The 27924-nt window shown below is 45.6% G+C and overlaps 1 protein-coding gene across 6 annotated transcripts in view, besides 1 other annotated feature; it reads left to right on the forward strand.

Annotated features, from left to right (window-relative positions):
* The window catches only part of DMRT1 (doublesex and mab-3 related transcription factor 1), a 127394-nt gene continuing 100462 nt past the window's right edge, over positions 993 to 27924 (forward strand). For 2 of the 6 annotated variants that reach the window (XM_006716732.2, NM_021951.3), the window contains exons 1-2: positions 993 to 1488; positions 6256 to 6439. In XM_006716732.2, coding sequence (XP_006716795.1) covers positions 1135 to 1488; positions 6256 to 6439 — 538 coding nt within the window. In that variant the 5' untranslated portion in view covers positions 993 to 1134. Of the gene's footprint in view, positions 1489 to 2008; positions 2251 to 2584; positions 2852 to 6255; positions 6440 to 27924 lie in introns of those variants that run through there. The other 4 variants (XM_011517770.2, XM_011517771.2, XM_011517773.4 and 1 more) reach the window with 2 other exon arrangements.
* Positions 18832 to 18881: an enhancer, noted in NCBI's record as "active region_28120". NCBI's record gives its function as "activates an Ori minimal core promoter by ATAC-STARR-seq in GM12878 lymphoblastoid cells {active_cell/tissue: GM12878}" and the evidence as "EXISTENCE:reporter gene assay evidence [ECO:0000049][PMID:35858748]".

Here is a 27924-nt window from a genome sequence, read left to right on the forward strand (position 1 = left end):
GTAAGATGATCGAGCCAGGGGTGTGTGTGTGTGTGTGTGTGTGTGTGTGTGTGTGTGTGTGTGTAGAGGTATAATGACATACTGTAAAATGCAAGATATGAAGTGTAGAATGAGTTTTGATACATTTCTACATCTGTGTAACCACCCCCCACAACCTCAGTTTTTTTTAATACATATGTTTCTTTTTAAGTTTGAGTTTCCCGTGCCTGCAGAGTCTAAGTTTAAACAGCCTCACAGACAAGAAGCTATATGCACCTGAAGTGAACGGGAACACGGGCTGCAACAGTAGATCGTAAAGTTATTTGGAGCGAAGGAGGTAGAAGTGTTGTGAGCAAATGAAGACAGGTGCAGGAAGGGATAAACGGAGAACAGAAAGTTCCAACCTTTGAGATTTTTGAAGTGCTTGTGCCCCAACACTGAGGATCTTCTTTGCCGTATATAGGGCAACTCTGATTTACCCTATAAATTTCTCAGGCCTTCCACCTCATATTTAATTCTCTTAAGCGAGAAAAAAAATTTTTTTCTGACTTGGCTGCTGCCAAGGTCGGCTCTATCAAATCTGGTGCGTCTCTCTGGGGGAAAGGGAGCTAGAAGACCCCATAGGGTGGTTTGCACCTCCTCTAAGCATGCAAGCACGGCTCTGGTCTTGACCTGGGGAGCCCAGCTTCCTCGGTGCACCGTGCTTTGGCAACCGGGTCTTGGCGCCTCCGAGAGCGGGGCGAGGGGTGCCACGCGATTCCCAGGCCGCTCTGTATCTCTCGGTGCGCTTGCAGGGACCCTGCAGCAAAGCCCTGGATGCTTGCAGCCGGTGCAAGTTTGCAAGCAGCTGGAGAGCGGTGGCTGGAGTCGGGGGGCGGTGGGCGTGGCCACGCTCCCTCCCAGGCAGTCCCGGGAATGTTCTGAAAAGTATCCGAAAGTTCTGAGTCGCGCGCGCGCCAAAAGAAAAGGCACAACCCCCCACCACTCCGGGCGTGGCGTGCCCAGACCTCGCCACTCCAGCTGCGCCTCCGGCTGCAGCGCACACGTCTCCTGCGCCTCCTCCTCCGGAGCGTCGCTGTCCGTCGGGTTCATCCCTCGCAGCAGTCTCCAGGCGAGAGAGGGGGCCAGAGTGCTCGCACTTCTCCTAGGGGCACCATGCCCAACGACGAGGCATTCAGCAAGCCCTCTACACCGTCGGAAGCCCCTCACGCCCCCGGGGTACCGCCGCAGGGCAGAGCCGGGGGCTTTGGCAAAGCGTCTGGGGCGCTAGTGGGGGCGGCCAGCGGCTCGAGCGCCGGGGGCAGCAGCAGAGGAGGCGGCTCCGGCTCCGGGGCGTCGGACCTGGGTGCCGGGAGCAAGAAGTCCCCGCGGCTGCCCAAGTGCGCACGCTGCAGGAACCACGGCTACGCCTCGCCGCTCAAGGGCCACAAGCGCTTCTGCATGTGGCGCGACTGCCAGTGCAAGAAGTGCAACCTGATCGCCGAGAGGCAGCGCGTGATGGCCGCGCAGGTGGGTGCGGGCGTGCGGGAGCCCGGGTTCAGCCTTAGTTTTTTTTTTTTTTTTTTTTTTTAGATGGAGTCTCGCTCGGTTGCCCAGGCTGCAGTGTAGTGGCGCGATCTTGGCTCACTGCAACCTCCGCTTCCCGGGTTCAAGCAATTCTCCTGCCTCAGCCTCCCAAGTAGCTGGGACTACAGGCGCACACCACCATGCCCGGCTAATTTTTGTATTTTTAGTAGAGACGGGGGTTTCACCATATTGGTCAGGCCGGTCTCGAGCTCCTGACCTCAGGTGATCCACCCGCCTCGGCCTCCCAAAGTGCTGGGATTACAGGCGTGGGCCACCGCTCCCGGCGGGGCCCGAGTTTCTTGAATGAAGTCCCCCCAGCATGGCCGTTGCCATGCGGGTCCTGGGTTGTGGAGAGATGCGGCGGTACTTGCCGACAGCGGCGGCGCTTGGGGTCCTGGGCTCCCGGCCACGCTACATCGCCGGTCTGGGAGCGCCGGAGACGCGTCTGATCCCGCCCGCCGGGCAGAGTTGCGGGCTTCGCTCGGCTCGGGGTTCCCCACGATCTCTCACCCTGTGTTTCGGCGGAGTTGCGGGGGTTCCCTCTGCTCCCGGGTCCCTGAGATCCCTGATCCCGCTCTCAGGGCAGGGAATTCCGGGGTTCGCCCCTCTGGGCTTCCCCGCGATCCCAGAGCCCGCGTTCCAACAGAATTGGGAGGGTTTATTGCGCTAGAGGAGTCTTCAGGATCTTCGCTCCCGCCCTCCGAGGTGAGGCTAGAGGGGAGGGTTCGACTCCAAGGGAATCCCAGGGATCTCTAGCCCCGCTCTTCTAGCAGAGAATTAAGGAATTCTCTCCGCTTTGGGGTCCCAAAAATCTCCGACCGCGCCTTGGGAGCAGAGGGTTTCGGGGTTCGATTTCCTCGAGCGTCCCCAGAATCTCTGACTCTCCCTCCTTGCTGAGTTGCACTTAAATTAGAAAGGATCTTGGAGGGCGGCAGCGCTGGCTGCTAGGTTAGCGGGAAAGGGAGGCTCGGCCGGCTGCTGCTTACGCGGGTAACCTGTCGGAAAGCCTTGTTTGTTTTTCTGGAAAAGTCGCTGCAATGGACACAGCGTTGCGCGGTTTCCCTGCGCGCCTGGGGCGCTTTTTGTCTTCGCCCTCCGTGGATGGAGGCTGAGCGCCTCAGCCATTTTGAGAGCTCTGGAAATTTTATTAGCATTTTAAAATTTGCATTCTCGACCGAAGATTAAAGTGCAAATTACTTTGAAGATGTTTTAAAGCACGCTTAAGAATTTTAAAGAATATGCGCAGGTGGAAAAAAGCGCGCCAGGGTTTGAGATTTGGTCCGTCTGTGGTTTTGTTTTTTTGAAGGTTCGTAAGTAGGCTGGTAATTTAACATTTTAACGGAAAGTTAATGTCTTTAGTATTCTAAAAGGATTTTTGGAAGGCAGTAATCCACGTTATTTCCAGTTAAAAGTTGTTTCATCTTTTTAAGACAGGTTATTTAAAATGAAAAGATAACGAAGAAATGTTTGCTAACGATGTGCTACTTTTGATTAGGAACGTGTAAATATCCTCCATTGAAAACAAATGCCCGAAGGTTATATGCTTTTATATAATATATCAGATTTTTACAAATGTGTTTTATACTAAACGTATTTTGGCTTCACAGATGGCGAGTGCAGTCATGAAAATAGATATTGTTTTGCTTAATTTCTTAATAGATTTTTAAAGCTTAATCTGTAGTGGGTGAAAAGAATACACTGGGTGTGGCAGTAAAATGCATCACAATGAGTTTACTGAAAAAAATTAATGGACTTTTAAATTATACTCTGGGCAGAAAAATTCTCTAAACATTTAGTCGTTGGCTTATTTAGTGTGGAGAACATGCTTGGGGGATTTCTCAAAATGTAGTAAAAATATTCTAGTAGAGGAATTAATTTTGAATAACCTTTATTAGTAGAGGAGGCTGCTTACACCGTTAAAAACAAAAGCAACTCAAGGTCACTTAGAATGGGAAACTTCAGTATTTTCTACACCAGAAGGTGTGTACTGTGCCAGATGAATCCTTAAAAATCCATAAAACAACTACTTCTAGTCATTTTTAAATAGTTTGAAATTGATCTTACGTATGATTCTAAAATAATTGTATAGTTGCATTTTTAATCAATTGTTATCCCCTTTCCTTTTTATATAATATTTTCTAAGAAACCTTGAGAGAAGGTCCTTAGCATATGGAGTAGATACCTGTGCATTTTGGATGTGCTTCAGAGGTTTGCAGGGGTTTAAAACTTGTTTCTGGCCAGATTCATTGATGTTCTCTTTCTAAGCCTCTTGGTTAGTAATAGGAAATCCAAGATTTAAGCTTAATTATTTAATTTTAAGTAATTAATTATTTAAGATGAATTTTTCTAAGTCGAAGACTTTTTTTTGGCTATGAGGAAAATTACTTCCCAATTAATCAGCTTCCTGTGTTTGGACTGTGGTTTTCCTAAAACAACATATAAATTGTAGTTGTTTTTCTTTCTTTCTTTCTTTTTTTTTTTTTTTTTTGAGACAGGAGTCTCGCTCTGTCCCCCAGGCTGTAGTGCAGTGGCATGATTTCAGCTCACGGCAACCTCCGCCTCCTGGGTTCAAGCGATTCTTCTGCCTCGGCCTCCCGAGTAGCTGGGACTACAGGCACACGCCACCACACCCGGTTAATTTTTGTATTTTTAGTTAGAGACGGGATTTCACCATATTGGCCAGGCTGGTCTCAAACTCCTGACCTCAGGTGATCCACCCGCCTCGGCTTCCCAGAGTGCTGGGATTACAGGCGTGAGCCACTGCGCCCGGCCTGTAGTTGTGTTTTTTAATTGAACGTTTTGATTTCACCTTTGGCTTATATTTGGGCAGCTCTGCGGTGTGGGTGCTTCACTGTCATTTCATAAGCACCATACCTTAGTTTCAACAGAAAGTCTTTGTTACATGTAGAAAGCAAAAATACAATTAATTTTCTTTAAACCTGTTTTTTCAATCTTATTATTTATTTATTTATTTTTTTGAGACGGAGTCTTGCTCCATTGCCCAGGCTGGAGTGCAGTGGCTCGATTTCGGCTCACTGCAACCTCCACCTCCTGGCTTCAAGTAATTCTCCTCTCGGCCTCCTGAGTACCTGGGATTACAGGCGCACACCACCATGCCTGGCTAGTTTTTGTATTTTTAGTAGAGATGGGGTTTCACCATATTGGTCAGGCTGGTCTCGAGCTCCTGACCTCAGGTGATACACCTGCCTCAGCATCGCAAAGTGATGGGATTACAGGTGTGAGCAACCCCGCCTGGCCTTTTTTCAATCTTTAACGGTGTTATTGAAGAGGGACCATGAAGAGCTTCTTGGGTATGTCAGGTCCTTTCCAGTCCCCAGTTCTGGCTCTCTTCTTCCTGTCTGTCTGGAATATCACACACCTGTCTTCTCCCTTCCTCCCTGCCTTCAGCCTCTTCTTCCTTCAGGGACTTCAACACCAAATTCCAGCCCCTTTCCCCACTGCTTCTCCCGCATGCTCCCTCCACCCCAGGAATCAGGGCTCTGCAGGCTTTCCTAAGCAGACCCTGCCTGCCTTTCCTGCCCACCCTGTTCCATATTATTCCGATATGTACTGCCCCTTCATCCTTGCCTGTCCAAGTCCTCCTCATCCTATTCTTCAAGGCTCTGTCCAAATACTACTGCTGGCTGATTTTAACATGTGAAAGACATTTCTCTCTCTGACTTTCTTCTGTAGGAGTGAAAGGTACTTCTGTGTACCACTCTTGTGGTGTTGGTCTCAGTTTGCCTTTTGTTGTAGTTGCATGTTTGCCTCCTGTTTTTGCCTTTTTTTTTTTTTTTTTGGAGACATAGTCTTGTTTTGTCGCCCAGGCTGGAGTGCAGTGTCGCGATCTCGGCTCACTGCAACCTCTGCCTCCTGGGTTCAAGCAATTCCCCTGCCTCAGCCTCCCGAGTAGCTGGGACTACAGGTGGGCTAACATGCCTGGCTAATTTTTGTATTTTTTTTAGTGGAGATGGGGTTTCACCATGTTGGCCAGGCCGATCTCGAACTCCTGACCTCCGGTGATCGGCCCACCTCTGCCTCCCAAAGTGCTGGGATTACAGGTGCGAACCACCACTCCTGGCCCTGTTTCATTTGTTAAACAGTAAGTAATGTAGGATACAATCTACTCTTACTGGTACCTGTTTTTAGTACAGTGGCCTTTTACAAGTTTATGGAATGAAGGAGTGAGTGATCCCATTTTCCTTCCTAATCTGTTAGTGCTTCTGACCCACTCTACTCTTCAGATTGTACTCCTCCCCTTGGCTGACTATAGTTTTTTCCTGATCCTCCCTAGCCAATCTTATTCTACACAGTCATTTGTTTAACAAGCTTTTTTATTTGTTTGTTAAGAGACAGGGTCTTGCTCTGTCTCCCAGGCTGGAGTGCAGTGGTGCGATTATAGCCCACCGTAGCCTCAAACTCCTGGGCTTAAGTGAGTCTCCTGCCTCAAGCTCTTGAGTAGCTGGGATTCCAGGTATCTGCGACCATGTCTGGCAACAAGCATTTTTTGAGCACCTACTGTCTGGCTCAAAACTGTTTCTCAGCTTTGCACATCATAGTTACCTGGGTGGGTTTAAGAAGAAATGGGAGATTTTCAGACCTCACCTCCAGAGCTAGTGAATCATGGTGTCTGGGATGGGTGGGGCTTCTGTGTTTTGGCAAAGCTGATTCTGGAGTGCTGGAGGATGACTCATTGTCGTGTGCTTCCAGGTGGCCCTGAGAAGGCAGCAGGCCCAGGAGGAGGAATTGGGTATCAGCCACCCCATCCCACTGCCCAGTGCGGCCGAGCTGCTTGTCAAAAGAGAGAACAATGGCAGTAACCCGTGCCTCATGACTGAGTGCAGTGGCACCTCTCAGCCACCGCCGGCCAGTGTCCCCACCACTGCAGCTTCAGGTAATCTGGAGGGGCTGGGGTTCACATGGAGGCTGGGCATGAGGGAGGCCGAAGGGTTGCAGCCACAGAAGCAGGGCTCCCCTGAGCTACATACAGTGTTTAGAGCTTAGAGGATTCTGTAGAGGATTCTCCCTGTGAAGGGCTGTTTGTGCCTGCATCACAAAGGAGGGGGCCGTGAATTCTAGAAATGCAGGTTCAACTCTTTCCTGTTGGTTATTAGTCAAGACTGAGTCTGGACAGAGAATGATGTTAGAGAGAGGTGAGATTGTTCAGATTTCATCTCAGTCCACCCCTTCATTTTCCAGTCATCCTTGTGGGAACTAAATATCCTTGTTTCCTAGAACTAGAAGTCCACTTCTCCACTGCATCCATTTGGGGAAAGTGTCTAGAAAGGCCAAATCCTAGTGTCAAATTTGAATGAGCGGGAAGTAACACCGGAAGGAAGGCCACGTTGGCTTGAATTCTCTCCCCTGGGTGCTAAGGAGGAATGTGTTCTTTTTTACACATGTGAAACCTGAGACATAGACAGTTATGGGATTGGCCAAGTTTACTGAATTAGAAAGTATCTGAATGAGTTTATCTGTCTCCAAAGCTCAATACTCAATGTGCTTACTGCACTAGGTCTCTAAATTACACAGGTCTGGAGCTGTACTGTCCGATATCGAAGCCCCTAGCCACATGTGGCTTTTTAAATTTAAATTCATTACAATGAAATAAATGAAAACATTCGGTTTCTTCATTACACTAGCCACATTTCATGTGCTTAATAGCCATATACAGCTAAGGGCTATCATACTGGATAATGCATTGCTGTCTCTTAGAAAGTCTAATTCGATGGCACTGGTCTAGAATGTGGGAGCTATGAGACATCCACCAAATAAAGACCTGTGGAATCTTGTTATTTCTGGCAATTAGATACACATACTGTAATTCACAGAATATCTTTAAATGTCTTTAAAGTGTTCTAAGCTCCATGAAATACAGCCTAGCAGTGTGATATCACCTTGACTAAGCTTTCATGAATTACTCCATTTGCTGGGCTTAAGCACTGTGTACTAAAGTCACACAACTATATATTATTAACTAGCTGTGCAACTTTGGAGAAGTTACTTAAGCTCCCTGGGCCTTTTTTTCCTCTTGTCAAAAATGAGGGAAAGGGTTCCTGAGGGTCTTAAAGATCTTATGAATCTTGGCCATTATTAAAAAGGAAGTTAAGCAGAAAAGAAGTTAAAAAAGAAGTTAAGCACCAAAGAAAGCAGGAAGGTGTGTCTGTCTGTGTCTGTCTTTGTGTATTTTACTGAAGTTACTGACTATGTAATTAACAGAGGTCAAGATACTCTTTTTTCTTTGCTTGGATTGGCTGCTCATAGTATGTCCTTATAATAGTTTCCAAACTTTTGTTTCCTTTCTTTTTTTTTTTTTTTTTTTGAGATGGAGTCTCACTCTGTTGCCCAGGCTGGAGTGCAGTGGTGTGATCTTGGCTCACTGCAACCTCCACCTCCTGGGTTCAAATGATTCTCCTGTCTTAGCCTCCTGAGTAGCTAGGACTACAGGCGCCCGCCACCACACCCGACTAATTTTTGTATTTTTTAGTAAAGATGGAGTTTCACCATGTTGGCCAGGCTGGCCTTGAACTTCTGACCTCAAGTGATCCACCCACCTCAGCTTCCCAAAGTGCTGGGATTACAGGCGTGAGCTGCCATGCCAGGCCAAAACTTTGCTTTTCATAGGAAGGAAGGAGTGTATCAGAAATACGATCTTTATGCTTTAAGATTTTAAGATGTGTCAAAGGTTTAGTGACTAAATAATACAGGGTCATGGCTAATCTGGTGGATTCAGCTGTGGGGCTGAGATGAGAAATGGGATGTGTCACATGAGTAAAGAGGGCAAGTTCCAGTGCCAGGTTTTCCATAGGGGAGTAACTCATTTGATTTTCACAAACGTCTCAGGAGGTAGGAATTATTATCCTCATTTACAGATAGGAAAACCAAGGCTTAGTAAATGGTAAGGAGACTGCCACAGAAAAGAGCTGGCTGAGCTAGGATTTATTCCAGGCCTGTCTGGTTCCAAAACCTATGGATTTCCCATTCTACTTAACTGGGACCAGTTGCCATGTTTCCTTGGAAAATGGACACTTAACGATTGTTTAGAGGCTGTGGTCTAATCCTCAGAGTAATTTAGGGCTGATGGACAGTTAGCAACAATGTTAGGTGAAAAAGTCCCTGCCATTCTATCTTGGCAGAGAAGACAGCAGCCATGGGTCTTCACAGGAAGAAATACAGGGAAAGGCCAGTGACGGATCAGTGTCAATGCTGGATGTGGCATAACATCAAGGTTTGATTATAAACCCTAAGATAGTGGAGCTTTAGAGAAGGACTTTAGGCTATGCAGAGTTCAGAACGACTCTCACAAGGGTGTTTCAGAGTGGTGATAGGGAAAGTTACAAAAGGAAGCAGTAGGGGGGCAAGATAGAGGGTTCAGGGTCAAGGAGGATTTAACCAGAGTCCCTTCCTCACCTGTGGAGTTGACAGACCTTGGAGTCATTCTACAGCCTTGAACTAGCACTCACAGGGAAGGGGCATGTGGAAGCCTACAGCGTGCTGTGCTCATTTGCTCAGGCACAGGTGGGCAAGTATGGCTCCGGGAGCCTTTACCTTCTGAGGACGATGGGCTCTCTCTCTCTCTCTTTTTTTTTTTGAGACAGAGTTTTGCTCTTGTTGCCCAGGGTGGAGGGCAGTGGTGCGATTTTGGCTCACCGCAACCTCTGCCTCCCAGGTTCAAGCGATACTCCTGCCTCAGCCTTTCAAGTAGCTGGGATTACAAGCATGCGCTATCTGGCTAATTTTGTATTTTTAGTAGAGACGGGGTTTCCTCCATGTTGGTCAGGCTGGTCTCGAACTCCCGACCTCAGGTGATCTGCATGCCTCAGCCTCCCAAAGTTCTGGGATTACAGGCGTGAGCCACCACGCCCAGCTGACAATAGGCTCTCTGCTAACCAGCTCATCTCTGTGGGGCAGGAGCCACAGGTTGCTGTCATTCATGGGATTTGCTACCAGACCTCCTGAGTGAGGATTGATAACTTCTGGACTGAGTTAGGATGTGAGCAAGAGGGAAATTCAGATGCCAGCAGAATTAAACTACGTAAATATAGAGACAGAAAGATGGAGTGTGGGAGAGTGGGGGAGAGCCAAAAAAACAAACACACTGTGGAGAGTCCTGAAGCTTGTATGCAGCAAAGGGAGCTTCTTAGATAGCTTCCTACTAACAAATATATAGCTTATATTCATTTTTCAGAGGTTGGATTTACTTAAAATAATTTCATGGAGGTGAATGGTAAACATGTATAGTGGAGTACAAAAATATATTCCATGAAAGATCATTGTTCTTCTAACCCCAACCTGCAGGTCTGTTTGTCATTCCAGGATGATTTACTGCATGTACAGGTGTATGTGTCTGTTTATCCTTTTCATATGTAATATAAAATATTTGCATAATTAATATAGTGGAAGTATGTTGTTCCTACTTGTGTCTAATTAGCTTTTTTCATTTACTACAGCTGAGAATTTTTAGTGACCTAGAATTCCACTGTATAGATGTGAGGCCAGCCAGGCGCAGTGGCTCATGCCTGTAATCCCAGCACTTTGGGAGGCCAAGGCAGGTGGATCACCTGAGGTCAGGAGTTCTAGACCAGCCTGGCCAACATGGCGAAACCCCATCTCTACTGAAAATATAAAAATTAGCTGGGCATGGTGGCACACGCCTGTAATCCCAGCTACTCGAGAGGCTGAGGCAGGGGAATCTCTTGAATCTGGGAGGTGGAGGTTGCAGTGAGCTGAGATTGTGCCATTGCACTCCGGCCTGGGCGACAGGGTGAGACTCTATCTCAAAAAAAAAAAAAAAAAGAAAGAAAAATAGACGTGGAAGGCTACGATTTGAAGTTATGCAGTGAGAGGTGAAAGTTGTAGGAGTTGTCATGGAATAGTAAAACCTACCAACCTGGCACACCTTGGGGCAAGTTGCTAACTTTCTACTTTCTAATACCTGATGTCTAGTGTTTACTAGGTCAGTAGCTTAGTGAAATTTAGTCAACTTTTATTTATTTATTTATTTTTTGAGACACAGTCTCGCTCTATCGCCCAGGCTGGAGTGCAGTGGTGCAATCTTGGCTCACTGCAACCTCCACCTCCCGGGCTCAGACGATTCTCTCACCTCAGCCTCTTGAGTAGCTGAGATTACAGGCGTGCGTGGCGATGCCCAGCTAATTTTTGTACTTTTAGTAGAGACAGAGTTTCACCATGTTGGTCAGGCTGGTCTCAAACTCCTGACCTCAAATGATTGCCCGCCTCGGCCTCCCAAAGTGCTGGGATTACAGGCGTGAGCCACTGCATCTGGCCTTAGTAGAATTTAAAGTCCTTGAAGTTTCTTAGTTATCTCCTTTTGGCTCCCAAAAGGGCCAAAAGTGAAGAAGAGAAATGCTCAAGAATTATTGCCAAGAATATTGGCCAAATTCTGAGGACACTTAGAAGGAAATTAAGTATGGTTTCATTTGTTGGAGAAACTGGCCTCTCTGAGGAGGATAACATATATTAGAAGAAAATCTCTAAAATCTTTAGCCAAAGATTGGCTAAGACTGACCAGATTAACTGGATAGTCTTTGAATAACGAGTGTAAAATATTTTTGTTGTTATTTTCTTACATGATTTTGGATATTACTGTGGAAAGAAATAGTCTTTTGAAGAAATTCTGTTTATTGCTGTTGCTTGTACCAGCAGGATCAGTTGTTAGCAGGTACACTTTTTTTTTGTTTTTTTTTTTTGAGACAGTCTCACTCTGTCGCTTAGGCTGGAGTGCTGTGGCGCGATCCCAGCTCACTGCAACCTCTGCCTCCTGGGTTCAAGAGATTCTGGTGCCTGAGCCTCTTGAGTAGCTGGGATTACAGGCGATCACCACCACCCGTTTAATTTTTGTATTTTAGTAGAGATGGGGTTTCACCATGTTGGCCACGCTGGTCTTGAACTCTTGACCTCAAGTGATCCGCCTGCCTCGGCCTCCCAAAGTGCTGGGATTACAGGTGTGAGCTACCGTGCCTGGCCGCAGGTACACTATTGATAAGCAAATAGTTTATTCCCAGCCATTTTTGGAGTATTCAGAAAAAAAAAAGATAAATGATTTTGACTCTACATGACAAATAATTAACGGCAAATTTACATTTTTTTCCGGTGGTTTCATGTTTTGAACTTTAGCATAAAATGTACTTTTTTTTTTTTTTCGAAAGTTATTAGCTGACTTAAATCTCAGGTCTTCTTCCTCTTTGTAAATGTAGGCTCCTCTTTGTTTTGTTTTATTTAATATTCTACTTTTTCTTCAGCCTCCCGTGCTCCTATAGAATGCTGTTTGACACAGTACTTAATGCAAAGGTCTGCATAGTTCTCTTCCTCTCCTTTTCTGTGCAGAAGCTGTCAGATGAAGGGTTGCATTGTAGATAATTCAGTTCTGCATGTGTGTCCTTTGTAAGGACCTGAATGTTATCTGTCTTGGGGCCCTCCCTTTTGGAGCACCGGGGACTTCCATCCACACTCACATTCACCCTCCCCCAGATCAAACCACCTCGGGCCCCCCTGGGCAGCTCCAGCCTCTTCTGTGGCTCGTGGCCCAGTTTCAGTCACCTTTCCCCTGTTAGAAGGATCAGTCAGGTCTGTGTCTAATATTGAAGGGGCCTTTCCTTCACTTTTCTTCAGCAGTTACTCCACTTGGAGAGCACACAGTGAGAGAGCACACGCCAGTTGGGAAACACATTGTGTCGTATGTTTAAGTGCTTAAAAGTTCATAAAACATGAAATGTGTTCGTTTGAAAATGGAATAGTATCCCATGCAGTTTTTACAAGTAAGAGATATGGCTGGTGAATTCACAACGGAAGATAGTTGTTTAAATTAAAAAAAACAATTTTTTAGAGCAGTTTTAGGTTCACAGCAAAATTGAGAGGAAGGTACGGAGATTTTTTTTATATACTCCCTGCCCCAACACATGCAGAGCCTCTCCCACATTACCAGCATCCCCATCAGAGTGGTGCATTTGCTAGCATCGATGAACTTACACTGATGCATCATTGTCATCCAGAGTCCGTAGTTTGCATAGGGGTTTGCTCTTGTTGATGTACTTTTTAATGGGTTTGGACAAATGTGTAATAGCTTGTGTCCATTATAGTATTCACAGCATTGCCACTGTCCTAAAAATTCTCTGTGGGGTTATTTAAATTTAAGATAACATTTTAAACATTTTAGAGTTTTTTGCAAATTTTTATTTTATTTTAAATTTTTGTTTATTTAATTAATTTTTTTTTTTTTTGAGACGAAGTCTTGATCTTGTCTCCCAGGCTGGGGTGTAGTGGTGTGATCTCGGCTCACTGCAATCTCCGCCTCCCAGGTTCAAGCGATTTTCCTGTCTCAGCCTCCTGAATAGCTGGGATTACAGGCATGCACCACCAAACCTGGCTAATTTTTGTATTTTAAATTAGCCACTCCCACTAATTTTTATATCTTTGGTAGAGACAGGGTTTCACCATGTTGGCCAGGTTGGTCTTGAACTCCTGACCTCAGGTGCTCCGCCTGCCTCGGCCTCCCAAAATGCTGGGATTACAGGCATGAGCCACCAGGACTGGCCATTTATTTAGAGACAGGGTCTCATTCTGTCTCCCAGGCTGGAGTGTAGTGGCTCCATCATGGCTCACTGCATCCTCCAACTCCTAGGCTCAAACAATTCTCCCACCTCAGCCTCCCGAGCAGTTAGGACTACAGGTGCACGCTATCATGCCTGGCTAATTTTTAAAATTTTTCTTTCTGTGGAGACAGGGTCTCTTTTTGTTGCCCACGCTGGTCTTGAACTCCTGGCTTCCAGCAGTCAGGAGTTGAACTCCTGCTTCAGCTCCCAAAGTGCTGGGATTACAGGTGTGAGCCTACACACTAAGCCCATTTTTTTTTTTTAATTTTTCAAGAGACAGAGGTTCGTTCTGTTGCCCAGGTTGGAATGCAGTGGCACAATCATAGCTCACCGTAGCCTCAAACTCCTGGACTCAAGTAATCCTCCTGCCTCAGCCTCCCAGGTAGCTGGGACTACAGGTGCGCTACATGCCCAGCTAATTTTATTAATTTATTTATTTTTGGGAAACAGAGTCTCACTCTTGCCCAGGTTGGAGTGCAGTGGCGTGATCTTGACTCACTGCAACCTCCACTTTCCAGATCAAGTGATTCTCGTGCCTCAGCCTCCTGAGTAGCTGGGACTACAGGCGCATGCAACCATGCCTGGCTAATTTTTGTATTTTTAGTAGAGACAGGGTTTTGCCACGTTGGCCAGGCTGGTCTTATCTTTGGAGTTTTCTAATGTTGTAAAGAAGGAAATACTTTATTCAAATAAGCAATAAAAGCGTTTTATACAAATTGGATTGAGACTTTATTTTTGAAAGAGTCTGGCCACTTAAGTGAAATGAGATCCGTTTGATTTTAGACAGCTTTCAATTAAAGCTAGAATAGGAAATGATATTAGATTAAGAAAAAGCTTTTCAGATAAAAACATTCCCAAATTTTACTTTCAAATTAAACAAATTTTCAGAGTTTCTAGCAAAACAAAACTCCTTTTTTTTTTTGAAACAGAGTCTCACTCTGTCACCCAGGCTGGAGTGCAGTGGCATAATCTCGGCTCACTGCAAGCTCCGCCTCCTGGGTTCACGCCATTCTCCTGCCTCAGCCTCCCGAGTAGCTGGGACTACAGGCGCCCGCCGCCACGCCAGGCTAATTTTTTTTGTATTTTTAGTAGAGACGGGGTTTCACCATGTTAGCCAGGATGGTCTCAATCTCCTGACCTCGTGATCCGCCCGCCTCAGCCTCCCAAAGTGCTGCGATTACAGGGGTGAGCCACCATGCCCGGCCAGGGACTGATGGCTTTGATAGCCTATTTTAGATAGTGTCTCAATTTTGTTTATCTCAGGGATAGTCTTTGCTTATATGTCAAGTATAGCAGTTTAATTGGTCAGATAGAAACTTTCTGTGGATAGTATTTTAATAAAGCAATTATGAAAACAAAGTACGTAGGAAGTAACCTACTTGTCTACCTTTGACTAGAAAGGAAATTTAGAAAACATCTAGAGCCAGGAAACGTAAATACAGGGGTTAAAGTTACAAATAAATTTTATAACAGCATATTAAAAAACAAAAACATTTGATTGGTTTACATCTGTGTCTCCCTTGTGAAAATCTAATCTTTAAGGACAAACACTGCATTTTATCCATTTCTGTATAGTACAGTACCTGGCTTTATAGTTAATGGTCAATAAACCATTGCTGAATGAATAAATGATGGTTAAATTTGAAGCTCTATTTTAAAATACTAGGTAAGTGATCTGAACCCACCTGTAGACACCAGAGAATAAAACTATTGATGTTCAGTGTACATTTTTGTTCTGTGATATTTTAAACATATATCTGAATTTTTTTTCTTTTTGAGACAGGGTCTCGCTTTTTAGCCCAGGCTAGAATGCAGTGGTGCCATCTTGGCTCACTGCTGCCTTGACCTCCTGGGCTCAGCAATTCTTCCACTTCAGTCCCCAAGTACCTTGGACTACAGGCACGTGCCACCACTCCTGGCTCATTTTAAATATTTTTATAGAGATGGGGATCTCGCTGTGTTGCCTAGGCTGGTCTCAAACTCCTGGGCTCAAGTGATCTTCTCACCTTGGCCTCCCAAAGTGCTGGGATTACAGGCATGAGGCAGCATGCCTGACCTCTGAATTTTTTTTTTGAGATGAAGTCTTGCTCTGTCACCCAGGCTGGAGTGCAATGGCATGATCTCGGCTCACTGCAACCTCTGCCTCCCAGGTTCAAGCGATTCTCCTGCTTCAGCCTTCTGAGCAGCTGGGATTACAGGCGCCCGCCACCATGCCCAGCTAATTTTTGTATTTTTAGTAGAGACGAGGTTTCACCATGTTGGCCAGGCTGGTCTCGAATTCCTGACCTCAAGTGATCCACCCGCCTCGGCCTCCCAAAGTGCTGGGATTACAGGTGTGAGCCACCGCGCCCGGTGACCTCTGAATTTTTAAGGTGATTAAAAATTCAAATGTAGTTTAACGACTTAAGATGTAATTCATATACCAGGTAATTCATTTGTCTCAAGTGTACAATTCAGTGTTTTTTAGTAAATTCACAGGGTTGTACCACAGTCACAAGAATCTGGTTTTGGAACATTTCAGTCACTCCCCATGTACTCTTCGCTCCAGCCCTAGGCAGACACTAATAGATTTTCTGTCTCTACAGAGGTGTCTATTCTGGAAATTTTATATAACTGGAATGATAAGATGTGTAACCTTTTGTGTCTTACTTCTCTTACTTAGCCTGATGTTTCTAAGTTTATCCATGTTGTAGCATGTATTTTTAATTATTATTGTTCCTTTATATTAGTAATATTTCATCATATGGATATATACCACATTATTTTTCTGTTTATCAGCTGATGAACATCTGGGTTACTTATGGGTTTTGGCTATTATGAGTAATGTTGCTGTGAACTTGTGTGCAAGAGTTTTTGAATGAATGTATGTTTCATTCTCTTGGGTATATACCAAGTAGTGGTGTTACTGAGTTTTATGTTAACTCTGTCCTTAACGTTTTGAGGAACTGCCACACTTTTCCAAAGAGGCTGCACTATTTTACATTCCTACCGACAGTCTATGAGGGTTCCAGAAAATTGAAACTAAGTTTTTTTAAGTTACAAGGGAAGATGCCTTTATCCTAGCAAGCTACAGGTAATTAAAACCCTGCGAGAGTCTCTCATGACAAGTTTAGATTATGAAGGATTCTTTAGGTTTGCATTTTATTATCAATAGATACATGTTAATATTCAGGCTGGGTGTGGTGGCTCACACCTGTAATCCCAGCACTTTGGGAGGCCGAGGTGGGTGGATCACCTGAGGTCAGGAGTTCGAAACCAGCCATGGTGAAACCCCGTCTCTACCAAAAATACAAAAATTAGCCAGGCGTGGTGGCACATGCCTGTAATCCCAGCTACTCGGGAGGCAGAGGTGGGAGAATTTTCTGAGCCCAGGACGTGGAGGTTGCAGGGAGCTGAGATTGCTCCACTGCACTCCAGCCTGGGTGACAGAGCAAGACTCTATCTCAAAAAAAATATATATATGTGTATATATTGAATATAATATGTATATATATATTCAGTCTTTGAAAACGTTCCTTTCTTACTTGTCACAGAGTTTATATTGAAAGGAACAGTATTTGTGGAAGTAAAGCAATTCATAAAGGGACCTGGAGAGAGTTTTTCTTTGCTGTAGCTGTATTATTGGTTGGTAGAAATATTGGTATCTATAGGAAGGGCTAAAGTAACATTTTGGACTTTGGGTGACATGTGTTTCCTGAAAACGAGGGAGCAAGAATTCTGTTGCCCTAAAACTTGGCAGGAATAGTTTTAATCTGTGAGTTTCTTTTTTTTTCTATTATTATACTTTAAGTTTTAGGGTACATGTGCACAACGTGCAGGTTAGTTACATATGTATACATGTGCCATGTTGGTGTGCTGCACCCATTAACTCATCATTTAACATTAGGTATATCTCCTAATGCTATCCCTCCCCCCTCCCCCCACCCCACAACAGGCCCTGGTGTGTGATGTTCCCCTTCCTGTGTCCATGTGTTCTCATTGTTCGATTCCCACCTATGAGTGAGAACATGTGGTGGTTGGTGTTTTGTCCTTGCGATAGTTTGCTGAGAATGATGGTTTCCAGTTTCATCCATGTCCCTACAAAGGACATGAACTCATCCTTTTTTATGGCTGCATAGTATTCCATGGTGTATATGTGCCACATTTTCTTAATCCAGTCTATTATTGTTGTACATTTGGGTTGGTTTCAAGTCTTTGCTATTGTGAATAGTGCCGCTATAAACATACGTGTGCATGTGCCTTTTAATCTGTGAGTTTCTAAAATTGGAAAACCACTGTCACTCTTCTGGGGAGTGAAAGAGAAAACCCGAGAGTTGGTGAAAATGGACAGCTGTCCTTCATGTGGCCAGTGGGAAGAGGGCAGTTCACAAAGACTTTCAGACCTGGTTGTAGCATTGGGGAACTTTTACAGGTGGTGACACTAGGTATTGTCCTTGTATTGTGCTGCCTTACGCTTGCTGCCATAGGGAACTTTTGGAAGGTCACAAAGGTCATCTGTGTCATCAGTGTCACTTGCTTACTCAGCAGCATCCCCCTGGAGTTCTTTGACTCACATATTCCTAGTTACTTGGTGGTTTGAGGATCCTGTCCTGTTGATCACCCCTCAGGTACCTACTTACTTTTGGAGTCTTGTGAATGCCTTTTTGTCCTCTTTTTATATTAATTAACTTATTTTTAAAAACTCTCTTTTATTGTGGTACAATATGCACAACTTAAAATTTATCATTTTAGGCTGGGCGCAGTGGCTCACGCCTGTAATCCCAGCACTTTGGGAGGCCGAGGCGGGCAGATCATCTGAGGTCAGGAGTTCGAGACCAGCCTGACCAACATGGCGAATCCCTGTCTCTACTAAAAATACAAAAATTAGTTAGACATGGTGGTGGGTGCCAGTAATCCCAACTACTTGTGAGGCTAAGGCAGGAGAATCGCTTGAACCTGGGAGTCGGAGGTTGCAGTGAGCTGAGATCGCGCCATTGCACTCCAGTCTGTCTCAAAAAAAAAAAAAAAAAATATATATATATATATATATATATTTATCATTGTAACCATTTTTAAGCATAGAGTTCAGTGGTATTAGGTACATTCACCATAATGTGCAACTGTCACCACCATCCATCTCCAGAACTTCCCAGACAGAAACTCTGTACCCATTAAACGATTATTTCCCATTTACCCCTCTCATGAACTAACTTATGACTGAGGCCAGTCTCTTATGCAAGCCCAGCTTTCTTGAAAGTTCCCTGGCTTCTGAAATCACCTGTAGACTCACATGAGTTACGATGATTCCTTTGATCTCTGCCAGCATCCTTTCTTGGCTCTCTTAACTCCCAAATGTTTCCTGTATTGCTGACTTCTTCCTTTGTTTTAAGTGCTGCTCTAACCTGTGCCTCTTGGGTAATAAGGGGCTCCAAAGTCTGTAAAATAACTGAGGTTTATAGGGAACGGATGCAGGGGACTGTATACTAACACCTTATGCAGTACACTGTAAATTCTGTCTGATGATCTGGACTCTGAGCCTAGGAGTGCCCTTAGTTGTACCGTGAAGCAAAGGAAGTGGAGTAGGGGTGCCTGTGGGTCCCCTGGGGCTCTCAGTGCTCTCTCACGGAGTCTTGACTTGTCACGGTCCCTTTTGCGGTTGTCAAAAGCAGCTATGCAAATGTATATGTGCATTTCTGTTTCAGCCTGAAGGTGTCTTCACTTTCCAAATCACAAAAAAATCCAATTCGGTGTTTTTGAGTCTCCTATGAAAATTCACATAAATATTGATTACTGTTGTTGAACCAAATTACACTTCAAACCAAGTTTATGCCAGTCTCTAAAACGTCTGCAGGCAGACTTCATAGTTGCTAATCTGGTCTCATTGTACAATACCACTGAACATGCTTTCCAGAAAAAAATGTGTAAGAAACTCTTAAAGTAGACTATAAATAGCTGGCAAGTTGTGAAAAGAAAATAATCAATTCAGTATTACAGTAATAGCAGATTTTCTGATGTTTATTGGCAGTAAGGTTCTTAGATACTGCTTCAGCCATCCATTGCCATTCAGCATATAGTAACAGATGACTTTCAATGTTGATTTCAGAACTTATAAAAATTGCCGTTAACTACCCGTTAACTCTAGTCCTGAGGTTTTAGGTTTTATCTAAAATATGGGGTAGGGCACGGTGGCTCACGCCTGTAATCCCAGCACTTTGGGAGGCCGAGGTGGGTGGATCACTTGAGGTCAGGAGTTCAAGACCAGCCTGGCCAACATGGTGAAGCCCCATCTCTACTAAAAATACAAAAATTAGCCGGGCGTGGTGGCGCATGCCTGTAGTCCTAGCTACTTGGGAGGCTGGGGCAGGAGAATGGCTTGAACCCTGGAGGCGGAGGTTGCAGGGAGCCGAGATCGTGCCATTGTACTCCAGCCTGGGCGACAGAGCGAGACTCTGTCTCAAAAAAAATTAAATACATAAAAAGTAAAATAAAATACACAAAATACAAATTAGTTCAGTGAAGCAGATTGGATTTATCAAATGGCAATAAATGTTTGCTGAATTGAATTGAATTCATCTCTGCTGGAGAGTTTGCTGTCTGAGCAAGATTTCCTCCCTCACTCTTCTTACTCTGTTTTTTCATTTTACTTCTTTATTCGTTCAACAAATGTTCATTCTATGGCTGCACTGAGCCAGATCCTATTCTAGGTGCAGGATATATAGCAGTGCATATATCTCTCACATGGACCTTATATCTCTTGGGGGCTGCCAGGGAAGACAGTTGATAAACAAGTACATCAATAAATAAGATATTTGCAGTAAGTGGTAAGTGCTGTAAAGAAAAACAAAGTGATATGATGGATGTGACCAAGGGGACACGGGCTGTTTTAAATAGGGTGGTCAAAGAAGGGAGGCCTCTCTAAGGAAGTTAAGTCAGAGCTAGTCCCAAATGACAGTGAGCCATTCTCATCAAGATCTGGGGAAAGAGCATTTGAGGAGGAAGGAGCAGCAAGGTGAGACTGTGCTGAGGCAGGCAGCTGTGAGCCTGAGTGCTTTGAGCACAGGGTGACACCAGTGGGGTTGTGTCATGGGCTCATAGCAGAAGGGCGCACAGCTGCCTGTGTATACCACGGAAAGGGTTGGGAGTTTAGCATGAATGCAGTGGACAGCCATTAACTATTAAAGCAGTGAATGGTGTGATCTAATTTACTTTCTTTTTTTTTTTTTTTTTTTTTTAGTATTTATTGATCATTCTTGGGTGTTTCTCGGAGAGGGGGATTTGGCAGGGTCATAGGACAATAGTGGAGGGAAGGTCAGCAGATAAACATGTGAACAAAGGTCTCTGGTTTTCCTAGGCAGAGGGCCCTGCCGCCTTCCGTCTTCTGCAGTGTTTGTGTCCCTGGGTAGTTGAGATTAGGGAGTGGTGATGACTCTTAAGGAGCATGCTGCCTTCAAGTATCTGTTTAACAAAGCACAGTTTGCACCGCCCTTAATCCATTTAACCCTTAGTGGACACAGCACATGTTTCAGAGAGCACGGGGTTGGGGGTAAGGTTATAGATTAACAGCATCCCAAGGCAGAAGAATTTTTCCTAGTACAGAACAAAATGGAGTCTCCTATGTCTGCTTCTTTCTACACAGACACAATAACAATCTGATCTTTCTTTTCCCCACATTTCCCCCTTTTCTATTCGACAAAACCGCCATTGTCATCATGGCCTGTTCTCAATGAGCTGTTGGGTACACCTCCCAGACGGGGTGGCGGCCGGGCAGAGGGGCTCCTCACTTCCCAGAAGGGGCAGCGGCCGGGCAGAGGGGCTCCTCACTTCCCAGACGGGGAAGCCGGGCAGAGGGGCCCCCCACCTCCCAGACGGGGCGGCTGGCCGGGCAGGGGCTGCCCCCCACCTCCTGGACGGGGCGGCTGCTGGGCGGAGATGCTCCCCACTTCCCAGACGGGGCGGCTGCCGGGCGGGGGGGGGCTCCTTCAGACGGGGCGGCCGGTCAGAGACGCTCCTCACCTCCCAGACGGGGTCGCGGCCGGGCAGAGGCACTCTTCACATCCCAGATGGGGCGGCGGGGCAGAGGCGCTCCCAACATCCCAGATGATGGGCGGGCGGGCAGAGACGCTCCTCACTTCCTAGACGGGATGACGGCCGGGAAGAGGTGCTCCTCACTTCCCAGACTGGGCGGCCGGGCGGAGGGGCTCCTCACATCCCAGACGATGGGCGGCCAGGCAGAGACGCTCCTCACTTCCTAGACGGGGTGGCGGCTGGGCAGAGGCTGCAATCTCAGCACTTTGGGAGGCCAAGGCAGGCGGCTGGGAGGTGGAGGTTGTAGCGAGCCGAGATCACGCCACTGCACTCCAGCCTGGGCAACACTGAGCACTGAGTGAGCGAGACTCCGTCTGCACTCCCGGCACCTCGGGAGGCCGAGGCTGGCAGACCACTCGCGGTCAGGAGCTGGAGACCAGCCCCGCCAACACGGCGAAACCCCGTCTCCACCGAAAAATAGGAAAACCAGTCAGGTGTGGCGGCGCGCGCCTGCAGTCCCAGGCACGCGGCAGGCTGAGGCAGGAGAATCAGGCAGGGAGGCTGCAGTGAGCCGAGATGGCGGCAGCACAGTCCAGCCTCGGCATCAGAGGGAGACGGTGCAAAGGGGAGACGAGGACCGTGCAATGGGGAGGGGGAGGGGGAGGGGGAGGGAGATTGAGATTTACTTTCTTAAAATATCTCTGCTCTTGTGTGGTGGTGTTTGAAGGGAACTGGGTGAGAGATTGATGGGAAGGTCGTGCTGTTGTCCAGGTGAAAGGGAGAGCTGCTTAGGCTGGGGTGGTGGCAGTAGAGATGGAAAGAAAGGCTGGGACGGGAAGTCTATACTGGGGGTACGTTGAAGTGTAGTTTTGGTGGGTGTTGTCAATGGTATTCCCTTCTGAGAGTGGCTGCTACAGCGCAGCCAGCACTAGGTGGTTGGGGTTTTCCTAGTTAGGTGAGGTTATGTACATCAGCGTGGTCAGGTGAATAACGGCCTCCCAAAAGATGCCTGTGCCCTAATCCCTGCAACCTGTGAAGTTGGTACCTTACATGGCAGAAGGGACTTTGCAAATGTGATTGAGTCAAGAGTCTTGAGATGAGTGAGATGATCCTGGATTTTCCGGATGGGCACAATCTAATGGCATGAATCCTTAAAAGTGGAGAGCTCCCTGGGTGTGGTAGCTCATGCCTCTCATCCCAGCATTCTGGGAGGCTGAGGCTGAAGGATTGCTTAAGCTCAGGAGTTTGGGACCAGCCTGGGCAACAGCGAGATCAGGTCTCTACAAAAAAAAAAAAAAAAAAATTAGCCAGGTGTGGGGGTGGCTGCTTTTAGTCCCAGCTGCTTGCGAGGCTGAGGTGGGAGGATTGCCTGACCCCAGGATTTCAAGGCTGCAGTGAACAGTGATCATGCCACTGCATTTCAGCCTGGGTGACAGAGTGAGGCCACGTCTCTTAAAAAAAAAAAAAAAAAAGGGCAGGGGAAGTGTGGACAGAACCTTTCCTGGCTGCAACTAGAGATGCCATGACAGAAGACACAGGAGAGTTTCCAGGCTTGACAGAGACTTGACCTGCTATTGCTGGCTTTGAAGGTGGAGGAAGGGAACCCCTCAGCCAAAGAATATGGGAGGCCTCTACAGGCTAGCAACAGCCCTCAGCTGACAGCCAGCAAGGAATGGGACCTAGTCCTACTAACACACAGGGAGCTGAATTCTGCCATCTAACTGATTGAGCAAAGAAACAGTCCCTGCTAGAGGCTCCAGAAAGAAATGCAGCCCCACAGACACCTTGACAGAGACTGGCGTCAGATTTCGGACCCACAGAACTCTAAGATAGTCAATTTGTGTCATTTACGCCACTAAATTTCTGGTGATTTGTTAACACAGTGAAAGATGACTAATGCAACTGGTATAGTTTATAATCTAGATTTCCCTTGTTAGTGGGGTTGAACATCGTTCCGTATGTTTAAAGGCCATTTGTATTTTATTCTCTGAACCATCTATGTCCTTTGCCCATTTCTCTATTGATCCCGGCCAACATCAAGAATTTCCTTATTTATTGTGGAGATTGGCCCTTTTTGATATGAGGTGCAAGTTTCCCCCGACTATTTGGTATTTTAAACCAGGAAACTATATGAGACTGGCGGGGGACAGACTGCGGGGTGATAAGAGTCCCAGGACTGAGTCCTCGTCACTGCACTCTTTGGAGGACAAGCAGAGGAGCAGAGAAGCCTGTAACTTTTCCACTTCCTGTTGGTAGGCCATTCTTCAGTCCAAATGAAAATGGCCATAGAATGGCTAAACCAATGTGTTATTTGTATTCTTTTAACTTCTTCTTCTTCTTTTTTTTCTTTTTTTTTTTTTGAGACAGTCTTGCTTTGTCACCAGGCTGGAGTGCAGTGGTGTGATCTCGGCTCACTGCAGCCTCTGCCTCTCAGGTTCAAGCGATTCTCCACTTCAGCCTGCCGAGTAGCTGGGATTAAAGGTGTCTGCCACCACGTTTGGCTAATTTTCATATTTTTAGTTTCACCATGATGACCAGGCTGGTCTTGAACTCCTGACCTCAGGTGATCTGCCCGCCTTGTCCTCCCAAAGTGCTGAGATTACAGGCGTGAGCCACCATGCCCAGCCAGTACTCTTTTTTTTTTTTTTTTTGAGACGGAGTCTTGCTCTGTCGCCCAGGCTGGAGTGCAGTGGTGCGATCTCGGCTCACTGCAAGCTCTGTGTCCCAGGCTCATGCCATTCTCCTTCCTCAGCCTCCTGAGCAGCTGGGACTACAGGCGCCCGCCACCACGCCTGGCTAATTTTTTTTGTATTTTTAGTAGAGACAGGGTTTCACCATGTTAGCCAGGATGGTCTCCATCTCCTAACCTTGCGATCCGCCCACCTCGGCCTCCCAAAGTGCTGGGATTACAGGCGTGAGCCACCGTGCCCGCCAGCCAGTATTCTTTTAACTTCTATTCCTCAGTTCAATTTTAGCTATGAGTAGGTCTCAAGTTTTAAGCCAAAAGCTTCGACTAAACCATTTCATAGTTATGGTTTGGAAGTTTTACAGTTCCATTCATTATATAATAAACTGTGGTATGGCCGTGATGCAGGAATGGGGAGATATACTGTCCAGTCACATATTCTGGTTTCTAGAGGCTAATCTTATTCTTACCAGTGTGGTCAGTGAGCATGGAATTAGAATGCACGTTACCTTCAGCTATCTCAGAGTCATTTTACTGTTTGCGTTGATGTGGAATGAGCATTGTCATTATTCCTGCATGACGTTTCCAGGTTTTCCCTGAGAGAATGGTATATGGCTTGATCAAAGTTCTCGAATATTGAAGACACCTGGGAAAAGAGATTTGTTGTTATCTTGATAACTTTATACCTGGAAAGGACTCTCAGTGAAAGAACCTAAGATCTGGAGTCAAAAGACCTGGCTCAGTTTCTTACCACCTCTCTGATTTTCAGCAGTTCATTTAACTTTGTCTGTTTGTTCATTTGTGAAATGAATAAAATAATAATATCTATCTAGGATATCTTGTAGAATTGTTAGAGTGCTCATTTTTTTCTTAAGATATGTATGGTACTTAATTTTTCATAAATATATATGATATATATGAAATATAAGGTATTTATGAAAAATACCTTTGTACACTGTGATGAAGTACATGAACAAGTCATAGAGCTCACATTTCAGATATTAATAGGAGGAGCAGATGAATGAGCCCGGATATGATTTATCCTGTAGCAATAAACAAGTTTTTGCAAAAATGAAGCTACCTGAACAGATACAACAAGAATTACATCTTTGGGTGAGGATTACATAACCCATCACATTTCCCTACACCCCCAGTTGCCAGGAATCTCAGAGACACATCTTAATGCTCAAACATGGTAGATGTATTAAACCGTCCCATTAGAATATAAATATTTCCCCTTCTTTTCATGACCTTCTTTTTCTGTTTTGTTGACTTCGCTGATAGATGCCTTCAGTATTAGCCATCTGTCATCCTTTCAAAAGAGAGTGAGGGCAGCGCACGGTGGCTCACACCTGTAATCCCAGCACTTTGGGAGGCCAAGGTGGGCGGATCACCTAAGGTCAGGAGTTCGAGACCAGCCTGGCCAACATGGTGAAACCCTGTCTCTACTAAAAATACAAAAATTAGCTGGATGTGGTGGTGGGTGCCTGTAATCCCAGCTGCTCAGGAGGCTGAGGCAGGAGAATCGCTTGAACCCAAGAGGCAGCAGCTGCCGTGAGCCGAGATCCTGCTACTGCACTCCAGCCTGGGTGACAGAGTGAGAGTCCATCTCAAAAAAAAAAAAAAAAAAAAAAAGACAGTGGTGGGTGTTTTATAACCACACAAATACTCAGGACTCTGAGACTGGGACGTTACCTTTAGCAGAACAGGTAAAGCACCATCAATGCACATTTAGAAATCGTCAGGACATTGCATATCAGATGAAGAAGCAGGAGGCATCAGCACTGGCCTGCGGGTGGGACAAGGGAATGTCATAATATTTCAGACCCCTTGACGTCACCACCTTTAAGAAGCAATATGGGGAAGCTGAACTAGGTGTGTCACACTGTGATCCATTGCAAAAGGGACTCATTTACCCCGTTGTGGGGATAGTATTTTAAAGTGTTTAGTTTCAGAAGTTTTCCTTCTTGAAAACACTCTCAAAACTTGTGTTTACTTGAAAATAAACAGTGTCAGATTTTTCATTAGGGGCAAACCAGAAAGCAACGAGAGAGTCTCAAGGACGTTATTGGGCTGATACACTGATACCAAATGCAGTGGATGGGCAAGGAAGTAACAAGCGGAAGCAATGTATGTACACGGTGCATAATTCCTCTTTAGTGAGTTTGAGATGTGTGTGAGACTGTCCCATGGCTTCCCACCCCAGGAGCTGCTACCTTGTAGAGTCCAGTCATCCACTTGATGAGGGTGGTGTTCATTTTCCTTATCACCCTCTCCCTCAATTTTTATCTGAGAGATGGAATTATGAGTTACAGGAGGAAGGAGTAAGAGGCACATCAAAGCCTTTTTGTGTGGCTTTGAATAAGCGGCCTTATTGGTTTGGGGTTGTTAGCTTTGGGTGTGCTATTTTCATCATGAAGCACCTGGGGTTTGTTTTTTTCTAAAAGATGTAGATAAACTAGAGAGAATCCAGGGGAAGGGCAACAAAAATGATGTATGACTTGGAGAGAAGGAGAATAACAGTCTATAAATATTTGAAAGGTAATATAAAAGAGGGAGAGAGATTATTTACAGCAGTGGAGAGGAGTTTGACAGGGAACAAAAGCATGCATCTAGGAGCAGGGGGAAATTGGGTAGGACTGAAAAAAAACAAAGCATAATAAGGGTGATTAAGCAAAGAAATGTAATTCTCACATTAGTTTGTGTTTCCAGGATGCAGGATGGTAGGAGGAAGAAGTGACGTTTGTCAAACTGAAGATCCACACACGACTATGAATCACGTTTTCCTAATTCCTCTCTGGGAAGCCAGGAGAGCGGGCAGTGCTTTATTCTGTGCCTCCTAAGCATGCAGTCGGTTTAATTCTCAACTCTTTGGCATTATGTTTTCATAGGTGGTAGTAATAATTATAACCCGAGTAGCTCTCATTTACCGAGTGTCTGCCTTGTGGCAGGTGTTGTCTTAGCTGCTTTGTTATTTATATTTTCATTTAATCTTTACGGCAACTCTGTAAATAGGAAGTATGTTTTTCCAATTATAGGGAAATTGAGGTTTAGTAACTTCCACAAGATGGCATGTGTATTAAGTGGTGGAGGTGGAACTCAAACCCGGGTCTGTGACCCACAGCCCATGCTCATGCCCTACATCGGGCTCCATTACTCTGTCATTGTGGTCATGAGAGTAGTAACTGGGACCCAGTAGGTGGCCAGGTGGTTTGTATCTTGGTACAAGGGTAAGTAAAATAGTTGATGTCCAAGGCTCCCTTTGCTTTCTTTTTCTCTTATTTTCCTTTCTTGAGATATATTTTCTCTGTAAGTGCTGTGTTATTAACATACTACATTTTATCATTCTGTAAATTAAGTTATACTATATGCTTTTAGTCATCTTTGTGGTTATATAGTGATATGTACAATCTCACTTAGGAAATCAACAATTGTTGTTTTTTATTTTGAGACAGGGTCTCTATCGCCCAGGCTGGAGTGCAGTCGTGTGATCACAGCTCACTGCAGCCTTGACTTCCTGGGCTCAAGCAGTCCTCCCACCTCAGCCTCCTGATTAGCTGGGACTACAGGCGCAAGCCACCATGCCCGGCTAAGTTTTGTATTTTTTTGTAGAGATGGGGTTTTACCATGTTGCCCAGGGTGGTCTCAAACTCCTAAGCTCAAGCGATCTGCCTGTTTCTGCCTCCCAGAGTGCTGGGATTACAGGCGTGACCACTGCACCTGGCCTGAAAGAAAGTATTTTACAAGGCAAGCATTATCCTGGATCTTACAGGGGATCTCTTAGCTGTATTCTATATTTGCCTCAGCTTTCTGTCTCTGATATTTGATAATATCCGGTGTATTGATGATTGCTTTAAAAAAACAAAATTCACAGAATTCTTCACTACTTAGAATAAAAGTGAAGAGCTGTGTGTCTGGGTTTTTCATGTCATTGCAAGAAGTTACCAAACCTGGAATCAAAAGGCCTGGGTTTCAATCGCAGTTCCAGCTATGTTTCTTTGTGTGCTGGGCACCTTTCTAAGCACAGCTAGCTCCTCTGTCTTGGGCCATTGTACCTCCTGGTCTTCAACCTTACAA

This window comes from Homo sapiens, chromosome 9 (genome assembly GCF_000001405.40).
Source record: "Homo sapiens chromosome 9, GRCh38.p14 Primary Assembly".
NCBI classification, from domain to species: domain Eukaryota; kingdom Metazoa; phylum Chordata; class Mammalia; order Primates; family Hominidae; genus Homo; species Homo sapiens.